The 21,073-nt window shown below is 47.2% G+C and overlaps 1 protein-coding gene across 39 annotated transcripts in view, besides 4 other annotated features; it reads left to right on the top strand.

The window, feature by feature from the left end:
- The window catches only part of LDLRAD4 (low density lipoprotein receptor class A domain containing 4), a 435,073-nt gene that overhangs the window by 71,322 nt on the left and 342,678 nt on the right, over positions 1-21,073 (top strand). The gene's annotated exons all lie outside the window — the stretch shown is intronic.
- Positions 2,756-3,266: an enhancer, noted in NCBI's record as "H3K4me1 hESC enhancer chr18:13291758-13292268 (GRCh37/hg19 assembly coordinates)". NCBI's record gives its function as "activates a minimal SCP1, AML or CMV promoter by ChIP-STARR-seq in naive H9 embryonic stem cells {active_cell/tissue: H9 hESC(naive)}" and the evidence as "EXISTENCE:reporter gene assay evidence [ECO:0000049][PMID:30033119]".
- Positions 13,307-13,492: a silencer, noted in NCBI's record as "fragment chr18:13302309-13302494 (GRCh37/hg19 assembly coordinates)". NCBI's record gives its function as "represses an EF-1alpha promoter that drives an FKBP-Casp9 reporter gene in an ReSE screen in phorbol 12-myristate 13-acetate-treated (for megakaryocytic differentiation) K562 erythroleukemia cells {active_cell/tissue: K562(+PMA)}" and the evidence as "EXISTENCE:reporter gene assay evidence [ECO:0000049][PMID:32094911]".
- Positions 14,605-15,106: an enhancer, noted in NCBI's record as "H3K4me1 hESC enhancer chr18:13303607-13304108 (GRCh37/hg19 assembly coordinates)". NCBI's record gives its function as "activates a minimal SCP1, AML or CMV promoter by ChIP-STARR-seq in naive H9 embryonic stem cells {active_cell/tissue: H9 hESC(naive)}" and the evidence as "EXISTENCE:reporter gene assay evidence [ECO:0000049][PMID:30033119]".
- Positions 15,107-15,606: an enhancer, noted in NCBI's record as "H3K4me1 hESC enhancer chr18:13304109-13304608 (GRCh37/hg19 assembly coordinates)". NCBI's record gives its function as "activates a minimal SCP1, AML or CMV promoter by ChIP-STARR-seq in naive H9 embryonic stem cells {active_cell/tissue: H9 hESC(naive)}" and the evidence as "EXISTENCE:reporter gene assay evidence [ECO:0000049][PMID:30033119]".

Below are 21,073 nucleotides of genomic sequence, written 5' to 3' on the forward strand. Positions count from 1 at the left end.
GCCCCAAGCCTTCAGGCATTTTGACATCTGGGGACTTTTAGAAACACCAGTCAGGCCTCATAAGGAGCTGGGACTCTGTTCCTCTTTGCAACAATTCAGAAGGCTCCACTGCTTGGTATTTTCCACATGGCTGTAAAGGTCCCAGCACTGGAGCTGTTTAGCAGTTGTTTTGAATATGCTCTTGTGTCAGTCTTCTGAGTTCTAAAAGTAAAATTGTTCAGTTCCAGCACGCATAATGGTTTAGTTCCTAGGGACTTAAATCACATCATATTCACTTTCTCATTTGTCTCATTGCATAGGTGTATAAACTGAGGAAATGAGAGATTATTTGAGGCCTAGACTATTTGTGGTGACTAACAGTGTTAAAGGGAGTAAAAGCATTTTGTAGATTGCAGAACATTGAACTGTTCAAGGATTCATAAGTGTGTAAATATAAGTAGAATTTAGTACTATATGGCCAGTTACTTGACTAATCACTTAACACGAAATCTTCAGGAGTGTCATCTGTCTTTAATTTACAGTTGAACAAAAACACCGACTCCATCTTTTGGGAGCTTCAGTGAAGAAAGCATAAATAAGACTGTGATGAAGTTTGCTAGCTGGCCACTGTCATACTTTGCAAAGTAAAAGAGAGATGAGTCATTGCTAAAATTATGGGGCCGTCTGTCTCTATGCTCAGCCACAGACCCAGCTGTGTCCAGTCCTGAGCCATTGGGACTGCCGTGGAGAGATGGGAGGTGGAGAGAACAGCTGGGTTGCAGAATGCCAGATGTAAATTCCTTCTTGCTGAAGTTGGGTGCTCGAGCTTCTAGAGGTGAAGACTTGTCTTCAAGAATAGGCTTCCTCCTACATGAAGAATAATCCCATCATATCTCAGCCTTCCTTGTGATATTGGGGGCTCCTGGAAGAGGTTCAGCAGCCTCTAGGAGAACCATGGGAACATTCTGGATGTTCCGGTCAGGACAGCAGATTCCTGCCCTTCCCATACCCTGTTGGGGAGTTTTACTGTGTGGGCAGACGTGGTGGGCTCAGTAACTGTGTGGGGCTGTACCCTGTGGGGAGACCTCAGTCCTCCCATCTGAGCACAGCTGGAGGAGCCGGCAGGGCCTGGGTAGTTGGTGCCTCCCCTTTGCTGATGGGGCACCCATTCTTCCCCCTGGTTATTGTCAAACTAGATGATTCTGTTTCCCCATAATTCTCAGGGTCCTCAGTGCCTTGATCCTTGAAGAGGAAGAGGGGCTGGGGATTCCTTCCTGTCCCTGGTTTTCCATAGAAAAGTATCAGTTAACCTTTTACATACCTAAAATGTTTGGCTTGCAGATAGTTTCAGAGTTTGTAGCAGCCTCCTGTCCATTAATCGTTGTTTATATCTTAAGCATTCTCCAACTATCTCAATATATCTTAACTTATTCTGGGTAAAATGATCCTGAACCATAGAACCCTAAATTATGCACTTTTTGCTTGGCTGGAAGAATTGATAGCTATTGAAAGTTTCCACTAATTTGCTTTCTTCATTTGCTTGTTTTTCTTTCTTTATTCTTCAGACAGGTATTCTTTAAAAAAAAAAAAGATCTGCGTTTGTTTTAGGCATTTTTTGGCACCTGCTTCTTGCACATGTAAAAAATTAGGGTATCTTAAAAGAGTTTTGTTGTTTACCTTCAGATGTGTGAGCTACTCCTGATTTGTGGATTTAGTGAGATATAAAACTAAAGTAGAAGTCAGGTGCTGGTGCATTCTCAGAAGTTAGATTATACCAGAAGAACAGAAACACCTTTTATCCATTAATTTAAATCACAGTTCATTTATACCAGACTTTGCCTCTAAGATCATTGGCCTATAAGAATATCTGAGGGTGCAGTCTACATAAGGACCACACTTTCAACCCCAGTGAACAGACCCGCAGGCCCTGCTCTGCACCGTGGCTTCCTGAGAGAAAGGCAGCTCTGCCCAGGGGCCCAGTCAGCCCTTCTTTTGTGACACATGGGGATTTTAATTTCCTGGGGCTAACTAAACTCTGAAGTATTTTCTCAGTTTATGATCAATAGCAAAACTAAATAAACCTAAAACAGGCTGTTTACCAAGTCTGGATGGAGTTTGGGCCTCTGAGTCACAGCACAGTATCTGCTCAGGAGCGTGTCTGAAGAGTGGCACACACATCCACGCCGCCTCTCCTTCCCCAGCCGGTCTGTTTGCTGACGTCTTTACACCTCTCCAACTGAGGCTCAATCTGTTGTGCTCCAGAAAACAAAATGACAAATGACATAATCAGCCACAAAGCCCTCTGCCACCAACAGAGGTGTTGGAAGGCAAAAGCAATTGTTAGTTTGGAAGCTCATTCACTCATTCACTTATTTATTCAATACATAGTTATTGAGTATTTGCTGAAGGAAACTATAAAATGTTGGCGCTGGCAAAAGCCTTGGACAAATCAAATTGTACAGTTGCAGAGGGTGAGGCGCAGATGGCTGTGATGATCGGGCTGTGGTTGCAGAACGTGTAGCTTGAGCTGCGGGGACCTGGCCGGGTCCCTGGGTGTCTGGAGCACCTCTCACCTCCTCACAGGCACAGCTCTTCCTTCGCCCACAGTAGGCTCTGCAGGCTGGCCCGTCTGAATCCCAGCTGAGTTACCCCAAAGCCACAACTAGATCTGAAGACTCTCAGGAACAATGAGGGTCTCATCAGTATAAGTGTGATCGATCTTTAAAAACTCCTGAATTTTAACGAAGCAATGTTTCTGAGGAATTAGAATGTGCCATTTCATGACCAATGTAATTTTCTCTTGCATTCTTGAGCGTACAATTTTTCTTGAAGATTGTGCTTTTTTATGCTTAAGATTGACTGGGTATACCAAGCAGAGGTCCCAGCATGGGGCGTTTTTCATTTACCAGGAAAATATGGCCCTGAAATCTGTTGGGCTGACTGCTTGGTTACTTTTTGAGCCAATTTGATGAAATTTTGGAAGATATCCCAGTGAAACGAAATTTTCCCTTCTAGGCTACCAAACAGAAGTTGGGTGTTTTTAGTGTAGTCTGTCCACATGCATTTGCTGTGTGCCCTTCAGAGGTGCAGCTGGGGTCAGTGAAGCACTGTGGGATTCAGAAGTTCCCTGGCCTCTAGGAGCTTGCCGGCTGTCTGGCTGTGGGGTGGATGGAGATAATGGTAGAGCATGTCTGCAGGCCAGATTACTCTCCTCATTCACTGGCTTGGGTGCTTCAGTGGCACGTGGCAAACAGCAGCACTGGGTGCACCTTGCTGTGCTCATAGACTGTCTGTGGGTGGGCTGCTGGCACAATGCCTGGGCGTGCCCTGGGCATATTTGTGGCCCTGTGATCTGCGCTCTGTTCCTGTCACTTTCTCCCACTAATTCAGATGGTTATGTGGCTTGAGATGATGGCAGGTCAGGAACATTAGAGTTATAAAATATTTTTGGCATTTAGAAACATTCTAGACATTCTCCCATCCGTAGGCTGTGGGTTAGCCCTTACAATATCCCATGAAATGAAACATCTCCAGTACGTTTTGAGAAAGGAGAGAGGATGCCATTGGGGTGGGCTTTCTCAGGCCCAGTTCTGTCATGGAAATGTTGAAAACCTTTACAAATCATGCCTCTAGGTGCAGAAATTGAAGCATAAGGGAGCCCTAGGAGGGACTGAATACCATGAGGCGTGGAAAGATCTTTCTTGGTTTCTGCTTTCTTCACTTAGCAGCACAGTGTTTTCTGGTTATTGCATGGAGGATTTATTTTGCAATTAATGAGGCAGCAGTAGGTGGCCTTCTACTTTGTGGGAGATCAACACTCCTGATACAAGTTTTTCATTGGCGATCCCGTTACTGAATTGCCTCAATAATTCCAGGGCACAAAGGCCACTGGAGAGAGATCTAGGAGTTTTCCAACCCCGGGGATGCCCGGAAATGAGACGATGACGGAGGCCATGCGGATTCCACGAGTTCAGCGAGGTCTTGGAGAGAATGCCCTGGAGGCAGGCGAGCTTTGGTTCTGGGGCTCGAGCACCACGTCCCAGGAATGCTGTGAACCTTCACTGCTGACATCTTAACTTAAAAGGTGGATGCATGCTGAAAACACAAACTTGAAATCACTGGTTGAGCTCTTGGCTACATTACAGTTTTTGACAGTCTTTGAAGCACTGAAATGTGTAATTTGGTTTTATGTCTTTCCTATGGCCTGTGGTCAATTTTTGGAAAACTCACCCTTTTCTAGACATATTCATTTAGTCCTGGGTGGGGTAAAAGGAGAGGAGACAATATTCCAGGTTGCTGCTGTGACGTTTTGCCACATAGACGACCTGTAGCCAATCTCCTGTGTGAGTGTGTGTGTTTGTGTGCTTTCTCTAAATCAGCAGTATTTGACTGTGATTATTTTATGGCTTCTGTTTCCCCTCTACCACCTCTGAACAGATACCGAAATTATTGAATTAAGGATAGATGCATGGAGCAAACACCTCCTCATGTAGAAGTTATGCAAACCTATGCAAACCCCATACAAATGAGCTGGCCAGGCCAGTGTCTAGTTGGGCAAAAATATCGGAAATATTGTGCACACCAGCCTGTCATTGCTGTCACAGAAGGAGAGCAACAAGGAGAAGGGTTATCTCTGGTGCATTTCTGGATTAAATCATAACTTTAGAATACTTTTCTCTTTTACAAAGTCTGACTGTCTCTCTAAGTAAGACATCTTGGATAAATGTCCCTTTCCCTCTCCGTGTTTCCGCATTGCATGTTAATTTTCAGGTGGCAGTTTTATCTCATTAGTCATTGTCACTTCCACTGATCACCCCTTTGAAGCTACATGTAAACTTTACTTTTAAACTTTCTAAAAATGCGGCTTTCCCCCCTTGCTTTAGGTTCCAGAAAACGCTTTGTTCCTGGCACTGTCCAACCTTAGGGATCACATAGGAGTCAGGCTCACAGGCTTCTGGGGCCAGAGGAGCACTTTAATACCAGGTCAGCAGTCACTCAGTTGTTTCTGAAGTTGGAATGGCAGATTTGTCTCAGTGGTTCTCCTTTTAAACCCTTTTATGCCGGAGGTTGCAATTTTTTGAATTGCAGACGTGTGAAAAATCAGACCTTGGCAATGACCTTGAGCAGTAGGATATAAATAACTCCCACATGCTTAGCGTTCCAATAATGGAACACTGCGCATAAATGGGTTAATTAACCTCCGGTGATTTAAGTTTAACTCTGTAAAGTAAGCTGAGAAGTGTGCATGGGAAGTGCAGTTTCTGTCCGCGATGAAAGGGCTGAAGGTGGTCCAGGTGGCTGCTCTTGGCAGCACCTGAGGGCTGGGGGCACGTCAGACAGACGGCCCAGCCGGTGTGCGGAAGCGTTGACCAAGATAACGGCCCCTTCTCCACAAGGCTTAATCACTCGACCTGAATGCATGGCAAGGCATTTTTGTCATCAAAAGGATGAGGTCTGTGGTGGCTTAAAATGTAGCTGTTATTATAGAAGAGTGAGTTACGTCTTTTCTTTAGAACAGAAAGAGACCAAAGCTATCTCATAGAACTAAAACCCCTCAATGACAAGTGAGGAAGTAGATGTGAGAGGTCACGCGACCTCCTGAGGTCCCAGCCTTCCTAGGCGGTGGAGCTGTAGAGAGGGCTCTTCACTGCTGCCTGGCCCATCTGGGGTGGCCTGCGCTCGGGGACACAGGCGGATGAGGAGGATGTTGTGGAGCCCACTGAAAATGAGAGTCTTAATGGTCACTAGGAAAATTCCGGTTGCAGACTTTTTACATCACACTTGATATTAGGACAGCCTACCTACTTGTTTGAGTGTCACAGCCTGATATGTAAAATAGTAAAAAAAAAAAAAAAAAGTTGTCTTTTTAGCTTGTTTTTTATGTGGAGTAGCTGAGAGACTGTATTCTTGCTGGACAGGAACATGAATTCTGTCTTTAGAAAATGCTTAGGAAAAGGGAGTGTACTGGGGACCGGCTGGTCTGATTTTAGGCATATGCACAAGGACTTTGTAGTATCAAGCGCAATAAAGGTCATGCGTTGGATTCATAGGTAAACCCTTCTTGCCCTGAAAGAAGCAAATTGTGGAATCTCTGTTTCAGGCTGAGGAATTGGACCAACAGCATTCCTAAGGGGGAAGTTGCTTCAGCAAATATGGCAGCAGTAGGGAGACCCCATTTTGGCATCTGGACATTGTAGAAACTCAAGATACTTTCTGTCTTGCTTGGAATTTCCCCTCACACAGGGCTTACCCTCCACACACCAACATGCATATTCTTGCATGACATGCTCACATCCTGGAAAGCTGAGCTGGACCTTGTGGCTGGGATGGCCTCAAAGTTGATTATGTTGTAGGGTTTCTTCTGTAGAAGCATCCGCTGATCAGCTGCATGTGTGGGGTCATACTGTGCCCGAGCCCAGGGAATACCAGTGGCTCCTGTGTGTGGAAGCCTGGCGTGGGTGCAGGGCTTCTTCACCATCTCCCTGCAAAGTCAGCTGCATCGTGCATGTCACCTGGACTTACTAATAACATCAAACATATCTTCCCTATCCAGTGGCTTGTACACAAAGTTAAATCTGTAGAAGAAGCAGAATGTGTTTTAAAGAATCAACTGGCACCTTGAAATGTTAAGCATTGTATACTGACTGAGCTATGATGGTGGTAGTCTGGTGACTCCCAAGGGGGAAAAGTAACTTTGTGTGGTTTTTCAGGGAATACATATTCTTGAATACCTGCAAGAAATAGCATAGCTGCTGTGGCTTAAATATACATGCTCCTATGAGGCTATAAGCCTTCTCTAGTAGAAATAAACCATCATGTATATATTTTGATATGTGTGCTTTTAATGTTTGTACAAAAAGAATTGTATTTGGGGTTTTGTGTGTGAGACTGAGGACTGTGTGCTGAGGAAGGCAGAATTTGTAAAGTTGGAGCTTTGGGACTCCCAAGTACCCTGGAAGATCACTGGCTCCCCTCTCATACTGTGCAAAGAGAAGACCTGAGGCTGCGAGGCGGGGTGCCTTGCCCAGGACCCCACCGGCAGCCCAGGGTGGAGGCAGGAGCAGAACCAGCGCTCTTGCCTCTTCCGTCAAGGGCTCCTGCGCCTGGCGGGCATCTCTCGTGCATCCCTCCAGCGCGGTTTCACGAGTGCTGTGCCCAGAAGCCAGGAGGCATGACCTGTCATGTTAGAGCAGGAACAGAGTGCCGTAGATGACTTCTGCTTCGCAAGAGGCGACCGCCAAATCAGACCGGGCTGTGATTCTTCTGTATAAGCTTGTGAGATGTTTTAGGGTCCTCTGTCAGGATAGGCTGAGGTATATGAATCTGCTAGGGCTGTCCTAACAAAGTACCACAGACCGGGTGACTTAAATGACAGAAATGTATTTTCTGTCAGGTCTGGAGGCTCTAAATCCAAGATCAAGGTGCTGTCAGGGTTGGCTTCTGGTCAGGCCTGTCTTCCGGGCTCAGAGACTGCCACCATGTCCCTGGGTCCTCATGTGGCCTCTTCTCTGGGCACACATGAGGGGTCTTTTCCTTTTCCAGTAAGGACACCAGCCCCGTCAGATTAGGGACCCACCCTAGGACTTCTCTTAACCTTTTTTTTTTTTTTTTAAAGAACTCTTAGGCTCAAGCAATCCTCCTGCCTCAGCCTTTCAAAGTGCTGGGATTACAGGCGTGAGCCACAGAACCTGGCCATAAACAGCCTTTTATTATTTAATTTAAAGCATTTTAAAATAATAAAAACAAGAAAATTTAGCAACAAAGAAAAGAGCAGAAGCCATCCATTCTGCCACTATTTTCACACAACCACATTTTCCTTTGTGTGCATTTCTTTTCAGCCTTTAAAAATTGTTTTAAGACCTGCTTTCCACAAGGTCATGACCACACAGCTGTGTGAGGAGGCCGTGAGCTTTGAGGGCAGGCTGACCAGGGTGGGTTTCTGGAGCCACCATGGACTCGTTATGTGCCCTGGGCAGTCAGTTCACCTGTCTGCACCCAGGTTCTTTGTCTGTGTAGCGAGGGGATTCCTTCCCCGCCAGCGGGTTCTCGTGGGTTTGCGGGAGATGGTGTTCATGAGAGCGCCTGGCCTTTCATGGTGCACAGTTCACGACTTCCTCTTCTCACCTGGGTACTTGTTTTTTATTTTGCTTCGTGTTCTGAAAGGAAATCACTGCCCTCTTTGATAAGAGAAGGCCTCTGTCCCCGAGGATGTTCGCTGAGCAGGGATCAGAGCTAAGCCACTCTGGGTACTAAGGGGCCTCTGCATTTTGGAAGGGACTTTGCCACTGAGGCCCGAGGTGGGGATCATAGCACCGTTTGGTGTTTTCTGGCCAGTAGAGTCACATGGCCCTTTCTCTGTTGCTCTGTGGTGCACCTGTGGGTGCTGGGACCACTTAACCCTCATTACCTACCAGAGCTGCTGGCCAGCACAGGCACTTTCTGGAAGGGGAGCGCCTGTTCCAGTCATCAAAACACTGTCTCCTGAATCCAAAGTCATGATGTTGGTGCCCAAATTTAAAGTTTAATGTTGGGCCCAGTGCAGTGGCTCATGCCTGTAATCCCAGCACTTTGGGGGGCTGAGGTGGGAGGATGGCTTGAAGCCAGGTGTCCAAGACCAGCTTGGGTAACATAATGAGACCCTGTCTCTACAAAAAAGTTTTTAAAGAAATTAGCTGGGCATGGTGGCATGCACCTGTACTCCCAGCTACTTGGGAGGCCGAGACAGGAGGATCACTTCAGCCCAGGAGGTTGAGGCTGCAGTGAACTATAATCCCACCACTGCACTCCAGCTAGGGTGACAGAGTGAGACCGTCTCTAAAACAAAAAATAATAAGTCCAGTGTTGAAGTCCCTACCAGGCCCATCGGTGGTATCTAAGATGCTGGACAGGCCTTGCTTTGATGGTTCAGGTGCTAAGGCATGTGGCTGGGGCCAGGATTTGGACTGAAGCTGAAAGTGGAGGCTGGGCCCTCTCTTAGTTATAGGCGCTAACCAGGAAGATGCATGGGGCATGCAGCAGGCAGAGCCTGGGTAAGACATGGACATGGCCTGACATGGGGACACCCTAGGGGGACAGGCCTGCCACAGTGATGGGTAAGCCAGATGATTACTGAGAGGCAGCCTCCCTGCTGCTGTTGAGGGGCAGGGCTCTGGTTCCAGGGTGCAATGGTGCACAAGCTGGGGGTGGGGATCAGTGTTTAGAGACCTTGGAGATTCCTGGCATCTATCACTAGGAAGCCAGCATTATGGTCCTGGTAGGAATCCTGGGGCTGGAGGCCTGCCTGGAGCTTAAATGGAAATGCACAATGTTGGAGCTGCTCTGGGCACGGTGATGTTGCTGCTCCGGGCACGGTGATGGACCTGCTCTAGGCACAGTGGTGGAGCTGCTCTGGGCACAGTGATGGAGCTGCTGTGGGCATGGTGATGGAGCTGCTCCAGGTATGGTGATGGAGCTGCTCCGGGCACGGCAATTTTGCTGCTCTGGGCACGGTGATGGAGCTGCTCCGGGCACGGTGATGGAGCTGCTCTGGGCACGGTGATGGGAGCTGCTCTGGGCATGGTGATGGAGCTGCTCTGGGCACGGTGATGGAGCTGCTCTGGGCATGGTGATGTTGCTGCTTTGGGCATGGTGATGGAGCTGCTCTGGGCATGGTGATGGAGCTGCATTGTGCATGGTGATGGAGCTGCTGTGGGCATGGTGATGTTGCCGCTTTGGGCATGGTGATGGAGCTGCTCTGGGCACAGCTCCTTGGGGGTCACTTGATGCGGACAGGACGTGCTGCGGGGCCACTGGCCTGTGGCAGTCTGGTTGAAGTCCATCCTGCCTGAACTTGGGATTGCTCTGAGACATCCGTGGGCCTTGCCACACTCTGGGAAAGCAGGCATCCATACGTCATGCGTAGTCTGACCATGTGGGCTTGTCCAAAATTACTCCATTCTTGAAATTCTGGGGGAGCATCCACAGGCTGCCTTCATCACTGCCTCTGACATTCTAAAAGGGAGTGCTTAACTTAGAGTCATGATTTTACGTAGTATGTAGGCATTTAAGGGACATTTGTATTATAACAAAAAAAGGAAGAGGTGTTGATGTCCTTGGAAAAGTGACTATCATTTCTATAAATTCCTGCCCAGTTAGTGTGAGATCGGAGCACCCTTCCCTGCCAGGGGCTTGCTTACACTGTGCTGGATGGTGGACGGGGTGACTGTAGCTCAATGCTGGCGAGACCCTCTTTCTGAAATAGACACATTTTAGCAAACGTAGTGGAGTTTCTCAAGCATATAGTGTGCCTGTTTGATATCTTAAAGCAAAAGCATTTAAAAATCTTTGTTTAGCGGTTTGGTTTTGAACATGTGCCCTTTCCTGGTCTCATCACAAGGTGGGTAGCATCTATCCTCTGCCTTACACCTCCCCACCTTAGAGGAAGAAAAGCCTGAGCAGCTGGCTGCAGGGGCCAGACACCTATGGAACTGGGACAAGAGCACTCGTGAGCCCTGAGTTTGAGACTAAAGCCCTCTGTGACACAGCCTTTTATTTTTAGTGGGAAGACCAGGCTGGTGTGACACTTAAAAGTGAATTTCAGGACTGGGTGTGGCAACTCACACCTGTAATTCTAGCATTTTGGGAGGTCGAGGCAGGAGGATCACTTGAGCTCAGGAGTTTGAGACCAGCCTGGACAACACAGCAAGACCCCATCTATAAAAAAATAGAAATTTAGTCAGGTATAGTGGTGCACAGCTGTAATCCAAGCTACTCAGGAGGCTGAAGCAGGAGGACCACTTGAGCCTGGGAGGTTGAGGCTGCAGTGAGCTATGATCATGCCACTTACCCTCCAGCCTGGGCGATAGAGCAAGACCCTGTCTCTTAAAAAAAAAAGGTAAATTTCAGGAAGCAGATTTGTGACTTCTACATGGCTGCTGGTGGTGACGTCTGCATTGGTGGTGGTGGGTGTTTTAGGGTCCTCATGTCTGGAGGATATTTTTCCCCACACTGAAGGCAGCCCACCTGTGTTCCCCTGGTGCCTGCACACATCAGCCTCTCATGGCTCAGTTGCTGGCTTTGTGTGAACACAGAGACAATGTGTTTGATTTGGGAACAGCTGGTCACAGCCCATGTGGCTCTGCCCCATGCTTCACACATCTTGGTTCCTGCAAATTCCATGCCCCAGCCTGGCTTCCGGTTCCTGCTTGTCTCTGGAGAGCCGTGGTTCCAGGGCCAGCAGGTGCCTCCTTACAGTTGGAGTCTGTCCAGGCACAGCAGAGAGCCAGGCCCGCAGAGGGGGCCGGCAGCCTCTTCCCACTCTCCTGCCCACCCCGCGCCTGTGCTCTGCCTCAGCCACAAGGCCACCTCACCAGGCAGAACAGATGGCAGTGGTGAGGGCTGGAGCCCTCTGCAGGGCCTGGGAACTAGAGGGCAGGTTCTGTTCTGATGGCCTTTTTTCCCAAGGACATGACATTCGCGGGGTCAGCCATGACTGCTGCCCCAAGGGAGGCCTGCAATAAGGCACCCGGTGCCAGCATGGAGCCCCATTGTCCTCACTCTTCCTCCTGGGCCTGTCCCGGTAGAGATACCCGGAACCCTCTCCTTCTCCTGGCTTATTTCGGGGTGGGTGTGTGAGAATTGGCTGTGAGATGAGTGACAGCAGGATGAAGGAATTTGGCATCTTTAGTTCATCTTTATATGATCAGCCCCTGCACCCAAGAATTTCTTGGTGGCGTTCACACTAAGAAGTGTCAGAGTGGGCAGAGGGAATGCATTGGGTTGTATTTCAGTGAGGGGTCTAGGCTGCTGAGGATTTCTCTCTGGAGGCCTCCATCTGGTCTTGCATTTCTGAGGCTGAACAGACACCTCTCATGATCAGAGATGGGGTGTGGGAAGGAAGGAAGGGTGGTGAACTGGGAGCCGGCAGCGCGTCCCAGCGCTGAACCCGTGGCACCTGGCTGCTTGGCTGTGAGGGCTGATCTTCCAGTGCCCGAGTCCCCGCTGTGAGCGCCCTGAGGAGCATGTGTGTCTCCGCACTATGCCCTCAGCGGCCGCTGGAGTGGGGCTCGTGTGTGCCCTGCAGCTGAAGGGGAAGGAGGCCGAACTGGCCGGGGTGTCCGTGGTTGGGGGGGTACAGGTGTTGGGAGTGGGAAGCATTTCCAGCCAGTGAGTTTAGGGATGCTGCCTACTCGGTCCTATCTTGGAGAGCCTCAGTGTACCTTTAGCGTGCTGGAGACGCCAGTGGTCCTTCTGTACAGAAAACCTCAGTGTTATTTAACCCAGAATGTCCTAAATGTATGCGAACCCAGAACACTCTTTCCCCACAACTCCAGTCAGCGCAGAGTAACCTGTGCTGGACCAGATGAGCTTGAAGGAGACTTCCCGCTGGACCATTCTCGAACTTGAGAGTGGAGTAGAGGGTGCTGTTGCATATTTAGAGGGTGATAGGGTGACAGAAGGCTGGGGCTTGGGGCGAGGGGGGTGGGGAAGATTCTCTTAACAGAGCTCTGGCTCTGCATTCTAAAATTAAGTCCTGTGGGTCACGTCTGCACCCACAGTGCCAGCAGGAACCGTAGGGGTGGCCTCATCTCTTCAGCTGAACTTGCACGTGCAGAGACGGAAGCTCACCTTGTCCCCAGGAGCCAAGGGTGGTGGCACAAAACGACCACGTTTCTGTCATGCTCATGCACTCTTTCCTGTCCCTCTCCTTAATGGATTGTAAGTTTCTTGAAGCAAGATTCTTTCTGTGTGAATTTTGTGACCCTCACTAGGCCCCATTGCCCATCGTGCACCTCCTGTGGAGTAAGTGATGGATGGCCTAAAGAAACCATAGGGACCAGGCGTCCTCTGTCCCCTTCCTTTCTCTGCAGGGTCTGAGGTGGGCGTCATTGGGCAGACAGGCAGGAGAGCTCCTGGGAGGTTTTATGGGTTTGATGGCAGGGGAGGGACCAGCCCCGCTGGGCAGCCCTCTCCTGACCGCCTACCAAGTGCTGTCTTACCCTGCCCCAACCCTCAGTTTCCCTCCACTCTCTCCCCCTCCCAGATACGTACATATAAATGTGATGATGTTTAGAAGCTGAAGCATTTGAATAAATCAGATGCTTTGCCCAACCCTGGGATAAAGGCTGTAGTTATTTTAACAACAACAACAACACAGACCCTGCAGTCTTCAGCTATTTCTGGATGTGGACTGGTAATTAGCATGCCACTTGTAATTCACTGCTGTCGCCGGCTGTTTGTTTCCTTGTTTCCAACGCAGCCCAGTTTGGGAGACTGGGTTTATTTCATTTGGAAATGTGATTCAGTGGAGACCTCTAAAATGCCATCACAAGATTAGTGGTTTTCTGTAGCCAGAGTTTGCCAAACCTGGCGTTTGAAGCTCGATGATTAGTTTTCAGCAGCTCTGTGCAGGGGAGTAACAGCTTGCTGCGATGGTATTTCACTTCAGAGAAAACTGTTAAAAGCAACTGCTTCAAGAAGCACTGGCACTACCTGGGGAATGGGATACTTGAGGGGGACAGATTTGGGGATAGGTTAAAGGAAACTCACAGGGCTTTGCTGTTTCAGCCTCAGAGACCTTTTACATTTTCAGTTAAATACTTACTGATGTGCATGGAGGCCAAATGCAGATGAGTGTCCTGCATGAAATTTATTCTGCCCCAAGTGGAAGGGGAATGTATGCCCTGGTGAGAAGGTTCCTGGAGGCCAGAACGCCTTGCTAGCTCTGCAACTACAGAGGGAAAGGAGGAAAACATGCACTGCTGTTACACGCAGTTATGGTACATGCAGTTGTTATGTTTATGCAGTTATGGTACATGCAGTTACTGTTACATGCTGTTATGTTACATGCAGTTGTGTTACATGCAGTCATGTTTATGCAGTTTTGTTATATGGAGTTATGTTACGTGCAGTTATGTTACATGCAGTGCAGTTATGTTACATGCAGTTACTGTTATATGCAGATTTGGAGCCCGACCTGCTGCTGACTGTAAAATGAGAACTTGGCCATGGTCCAAGAGGAAAGCTTTTGGTTCCTGCTTTTTAGAAAGATTTATTGGGGGTAGGCTTTAATGAATAGACAGATTCTTTAGACTTCTCCAGTGGCCTGGGGCTGTCTGCCCTGGGCACTCAGCTGACCTCAGAGCTGCCCACAGGGAAGGCACCGGAGGGCAGGAGTGCACCCCTGCAGGGCACATGCTGGACAGCAGCCATGTGGTGCCTAGACCCCGGCCCAGATGTCTCGTCAGATCCGTTGAGGGGGAAATAGGTTAACTTTGTCTTCTGAAGACAATTTTTTTTCCCTAGAGGCAGGGTCTCACTCTGATGCCCAGGCTGAAGTGCAGTGGTACGATCATAGCTCACTGCAGCCTCAGCTCCTGGGTTCCAGCAATCTTTCCTCCTCAGCCTCCTGAGTAGCTAGGACTACAGGTGCATGCCACCATGCCAGCTAGTTTTTTTTGTCTTTCTTCCTTTCTCTCGCTCTTTCTCTCTCTCTCCCCGTTTCCTTCCCTGCCCTCCTTCTCTCCTTTTCTCCTTCCTTCTTTCCTTTCTTGTAGAGAGGGGCTCTCGTTATGTTGCCTGGGCTGGTCTCAAACTCCTGGGCTCAAGCAGTCCTTTTGCCTTGGCCTCCCAAAGCCCTAGGATTACAGGTGCGAGCTACTGCTCCTGTCCGAGACTTTCCTTTTGATGAAAGAAAAAGGGAGTTATTTTCTACATGAGCTAAATCTTTTAAATGAATCCCCCTCCTCCTCACTCCCCAAGAAAAAGAGAAAGGAAGATGAAAAACCCCCAAAATAGAACAGAACCCTCTTAGGAATGGGAAGCCCATGCATCTTTCTGGGGACCTCTTGTTGAAGGCATTAGCTAGATAAGCACCAGGTTCTCCTAGTAAGAGGGCTAAGGAGATCCTAGCTGCTCCATAAGATGTGATGAAAAGAAGGAATGAGCTTCAGTTGTACAAAGGCCCACGAGTCATCTGCAAACTATGGCCTGAAGTGTTGGTAGACAGTGCAGTTGTCACCAGGAAGTCATTTCTGGAATTTTTCAGGCAAAGCAAGCACCTGGAAGGATTTGAGTAGAGTCCTGCACCGCCAGGGGTGGATCCAGGGTCCTGGGGTCTGGTCCCCCCGGGAGGCAGCCCTGCTGCTGCAGTCCTGGACTCCAGTGCACAGGCTCCCAGGCCAGGACCTGGGCGGCTTCCCGGCTTCCACACTCAGGGCTCATCTTGGTGGATGTTGCACAGGAGTTGGACCTTAGATATTCCTAGAGGTCTCCACCTCTCAGCATCTCTGGCTGAAAGGTGGTTCCTCTGTAGAATGTTGTGACTGTATGGTGTGGGCAGCGTGGGGAAGGGGAGGAGGAGGAGTTAGTTTTTCAAAGAAGATTTCCTGAGCTCACAGTTGGTTGGTACTCACATGTTGAAGAGTGCAGAGATGGGAGATGGCCCTCTTGGTGCTAGTGTCAGGTCTGTATCTCTGTGTTGGGCCTGGCTTGGTCAGAATGGTCTCGTGCAGCAGGGATGACTTCAGGGAGTCCCCAGCATGCTGTCGCAGCACAGGCTGTGGGGCAGGCCACCTGGAAGCTGCTGGGGAGGGCTGGGAAGGTGGTTCTTTCAGACTCCCCTGAGGAATGAGGCCAGGCAGCCACTGCCCTGTATACACCGACACACGCTTCAATCCTTGTCATGGCAACATCAGCCCTTTTGAGTTTAACCTGCTGCAGGTTTGGGCAATGGGCCCCATTTGTTTTGGTTTCAAATTATGATATTCAAGAATAATTTCCATTTTATGAAACTCCTTGTCATGGACACAGACCTGAAGATGGGAGACTGCTAAACCTGGTCCTGCTGTGGGGGTGTAGGAGGGATCCCTAGGGATGGGGACAGGGAAGATGACACAGCAGACGGAAGGAGTGTGAGGAAGGCAGACTCAGCCTGCATGCGTCAGCCTGCTGACGGAGGGCGTGTTTATCATTTCACAGTTGAAAAACTGAAAAACTTAGTTGACTCTTGTACAACATGGGTTGAAACTGTGTGGGCCTACTTGTATACAGATTTTTTTCAATAAATATATTGGAAATTTTTGGAGATTTTCAAATATTTGAATAAACTTGCATATGAATCTCGTAGCCTAGAAATATTGAAAAAAATTAAGACAAAGTTAGGCATGTCATGAATGCATAAAATATATGTAGATACTAGTCTATTTTGTCATTTTTATTACTGTAAAATATATGCGTACCTGTTATAAAAAGTTAAATCTTATCAAAACTTATGCACACACTTACATATATACATGGTACCATTTGCAGTCGAGAAATGTAACGCAAACACAAAGATGTAGTATTAAATCATAACTGCATAAAATTAACTGTAGTCCATTGCTATACTACTGTAATAATTTTGTAGCCACATCTGGTTGCTATTGTGGTCAGCTCAAGTTTTTTCAGTATCCACTTAAGACACTATGTGATCCTTATCATCTCCGCATGAGCAGTTCTTCTCAACAGTAAATTTCATGTCACAGTGAAAAGGAATCTCTTGAGGTTCTTGCATATTTTCACTGTATTTCCTGCAATACCATAAGCCTCGAAGAGCAACATGGGACCCAAACCCATAGGAAGTACCCCTAGTGATGCTGGAAGTGCTCCCAAGAAGCAGAGAAAAGTCATGACATTGCAAGAAGAAGTTGAATTGCTCGATTTGTGCTGTAGATTGAGGTTGGCAGCTGTGGTTACCTTTTGCCATTTCAAGATAAATGAAACCAGCATAAGAACCACTGGAAAAAAGAAAAGGAAATTTGTGAAGCCGTCACTGCAGCTATATGCCAACAGGCACAAAAACTTTGCACTTTTTGCAAAATACCTTTGTATCTTGTATTGAAAATGCAGCTTTTATATGGTAGAAGGATGGCTATTAGAAAGCTCACCTATAGACTCTAATAAGATTTGAGAAAAAGCAAAGTCGTTATATGACAAAGCAAAAGAAATGCAAAGGATCTAAAGATGGAGAATTCAGTGCCAGCAAGGGATGGTTTGATAATTTTAGAAAGAGATTTGGCTTAAAAAAAAGTCAAGATAATAGGAGAAGCAGCAGTTGAGTTCCCAGATACCATTAAGAAAATCATTGAGGAGAAAGAATATCTGCCTCTATAGGTTTATAAATGCAGATGAAAGTGGTCTATTCTGGAAAAAAAAGCTACAAAGGACATTTATTAGTAAGGAAGAGAAGCAGCATGGATAGGCTAACTCTTATCATTTTGTGCAAATGCAGTTGGGTTTATGAACAGGACGGCCCCTGAGCCTTGAAGGAAAAAGGTGAACACCAGCTGCCAGTCTTTTGATTGTAGAACAAGAAGGCCTGGACAGTGAGAACTCTTTTCCTGGATTAGTTCCATCAGTGTTTTGTCCCTGAAGTCAGGAAGTACGTTGCCAGTAAGAGACTGCCTTTTAAACTTCTTTCAATACTGGACAGTGCCCCTGGCCACCCAGAACCCCATGAGTTCAACACTGAAGGCTGAAGACTGAAATGGTCTATTTGCCCTCAAATAAGACATCTCATATCAGCCTCTAGATCAGGGTCTCAAAAGGACCTTTAAGGCTCATTACACACGGCGTTCTATGGAAAGGATAATAACGCTGTGAAGGAGAACCCTGATAGAGAGAAGGTCAGGAAAATCTGAAAGGATTTCACCATTGAAGGTGCCACTGTTGTAACAGAAAAAACTGTGAGAGCTATCAAACCCGAAACAATAAATTCCTGCTGCAGAAAACTCTGTCCAGATGTTGTGCATGACTTCATGGGATTTGCAACAGAGCCAACCAAGGAAATCATGAAAGAGACTGTGGCTATGGCAAAAAAAATAAAAAGGTGCGCCAGGGGAGAGGGGGAAGGAAGGATTTCAAGATATGGATCTTGGAGAAATTCAAGAGCTAGTAGACACCACACCAGAGGAATTAACACAGGACGACTTAATGGAGATAAGTACTTCCAAACCAGGGCCAGGTGATGGGAAAAAAACATAGAAGAAGCAGTGCCAGAAAATAAATTGACATTAGACAGTCTGGCAGAAGGGTTCCAGTTATTCAGACTGCTTTTGACTTCTTTTATGACATGAATCCGTCTATGAAGTGGGCACTGAAACTAAACAAACAGGGGAAGAAGAATTGGTGCTGTTTAGAAACACTTAGATAAATGAAAAAGCAAAAAAGGCAGATGGAAATTGCAGTGTGTTTTGTGAAGTTACACCAAGTGTGCGTGCCTTTCCTGTCCCGGTTCCCACCTCCTTCATCGCTTCTGTCTCTGCCCCGCCTGAGACAGCATGGCCAACCCTGACTCTCCCTCCTCCCCTCAGCGTACTCAATGTGAAGATAACGAGAATGAAGAACTTTATGATGGTTCACTTCCACTTACTGAATACTAAATATATTTTCTCTTTCTTATGATTTTCTTTTTTTAATTAAAAAAAAATTTTTTAAGAGACAGGGTCTTGCAGTGTTGCCCAGGCTGAGTGCAGTGGTGCCATCTTGGCACCCTGCAGCCTTGACCTGTCAGGTTCAAGTGATCCTCCCACCTCAACCTCCCAGGTAGCTGGGACCACAGGGCATGTCACCACTCCTGACTAATTTTTACATTTATTTTGAGGAGAAGGGGGTCTCACTATGTTGCCCAAGCTGGTCTCAAACTCCTGGCCTCAAGTGATCCTCCCCCTTCAGCCTCCCAAAGTGTTGGGATTACAGGCATGAGCTGCCATGCCTGGCCCCTAATTTTTTAAATAACATTTTCTTTTCTGTAGTATACTGTATTATAAGAATACTGTAAGTATATGCATAATACATATAACATTGAAAATGTGTGTTAATTGGCAGTTTATATTATCCGTAATGGTCAACAATAGGCCATTAGTAGTTACATTTTTGGGAGTCAAAAGCTATACTTGGATTTTTGACCGTGGAGCGGGCTGGCATCCCTAACCTCTATTTAAGGGCAACTATCAGATGGTTCAGAAATAAAATCAATTATCAAAGGCATTCATTCATGCCTGCTGCTGTCCACTCTGTCCCTGCCTTGTCTCTGCAGTCGTGTTTCTTATATATCCTTCTAGAATTTCTGTATGCATTTATAAACAACTTTAAAAACAAATTAGCCACCTCCACCCTTCATCAAGCCCATTTTCCTGTACCATGCTTTCGACACTCAATGTGCCTTACAGATCCTTCCACGTCCGCACACAGAAAGCTTCCCTTTTTTCTTGTCCCACCCGCCGCCCCACACCTCTCCTCTGCCTTTGTTTACAGCCATCTGGTGTCCCATTTAATAGACATGCCAGTTTACATAACCAGTCCTCTATTGATGAACCTTTGACTTAATTCCAAATTTTGCTATTATAGACAAAGTACAATGAATAATATATTTTATTTCTCTTAATTTCAATTCTCAAACATGCACGTGTACCTTTAGGATGAATTTCTGCAATTGGATGTGCCAAGGCCAGAGCGTGTGCATTTGTGGCTTTGGTTGACATCACCAAGTCGCCCTTCCTGGGGCCTGTGCTGGTGTACTCTGAGGCGCGATTGTGTGAAAGGTGGGCGAAGGTGCCTGTTCGACCACATCCTCACTGGTAGACTGGGTCACCACAGTTTTGGAAAGGTGAGAAATGGTATCTAAACATAGTTTGAATTTGCATTTCTTTTACTGGAAGGGAGGCTGCGCGTGTTTCACATCAGAGCCATGTGTGTTTGTGGTTGTTGAACTTTCTCTCTTGGATTGCTAGGAGTGCTTTATGTATTAGGGAAGCAGACTTCCCTAATGCGTGATAACGCATGCAGATACTGTTTCCAAGTTTTTGTTATTTGTCTTTTAAATTTGTTTTTGCATTTGTCTTTTCACTTTGATTTTTGCCAGGCTGGAGTTTTGATGTTTATGTGGTCATAGGTGTGAATATTTTCTTTTGTGGCTTCTGGATTTTGAGACACAGTGGCTATAGAACCACTGTAGCCAAAAGTTATGTTTGCTTTTGGTTTCATATACTTTGCTTTGGTCCTGTCTTCTTGACTTTATTTAAAATAGTAAGATATTCTTACTACATTTTTCCATTGCCCATAGCTGGAAGGAGATTGTAATTATCACCAAAGATGAAAAACTAAGGCATGTTCTCAGCAGAGGCAGATTAGACTTTAAGTTAGAGGCTTGTCCTTGGTGCAGAGGCCTGTGAGCGACCCGGCCCCACTTGCCCTGCACACCATGGCGTGGATTGTGGGCAGTCACAGGGAAGACCTCTGGCTTTGCTGGGAGCTGGGGTACGGTTCTTAGAGTGCCATTCTAGAGTGGCTTCGCGTACTGGTAATGAACGCCCATCAAGTGGCCTTGGGAATTCATGAGCCGGATGATGATGACTTCGCCGGTGAAAAGCAAATCCCAAATAGGTTGTTTTCTGTGCATTCCAGTCCCAATTTCTCTTCCAAGTAATTATTAGATGTGCCAAGCCTGTTACGTTTATTACTTACAGAATTGTTTTTGTCTGTGTGAGTTTACTGAGGACTTAGGGGTTGGTATGTGAGGAGGGGAGCCCCCCTTCTCCTGTGGGCACTCTAGCACTCTTAATAATCAGTATTAAACATGTTGAAGGCCATAAAGGAAATAACCTTCTCTTAAAAACAAGTTAGAGTCAGTCATAAAACTGTTTGCCTAGACCTTGATCACTTAAAATAAGATCTTAGATGTGATGTGTCTTTGTGGAGTATTTCCTGTGGCTCGGGAGGTGTGCATGAGAGTGGGGTCTGAGGGACAGTGAGGGGTGAAGGAAAGGTGGGAGAGAGGGCCTTCAGTGACTGTACCAAAGACTCACAGACACTGGGTGTCTTGGTGATGGGTGCACATAGCCCTTCTTTTGTGACTGAAGCTGTGTGGCCTTCATCCCACAGGGTCTGCCCTCTCCAGATAATTCTGTCACTGAACTTCAAACTGTCAATGGAACGATAGCGCAGTCTCTTAACAATGCTTCAGGACAGATAATAGAGCTGTGCGGGCAGCCTCGGTGACAGTGTTGGGAATCTGCAGAATGGCTTTGTCCACTTCTTTCCTTTCAGAGGAGACATTGAACCTCGGCATGGTGTCTCA

The sequence above is a fragment of the Homo sapiens genome, chromosome 18, assembly GCF_000001405.40.
Source record: "Homo sapiens chromosome 18, GRCh38.p14 Primary Assembly".
Taxonomy (NCBI): Eukaryota; Metazoa; Chordata; class Mammalia; order Primates; family Hominidae; genus Homo; species Homo sapiens.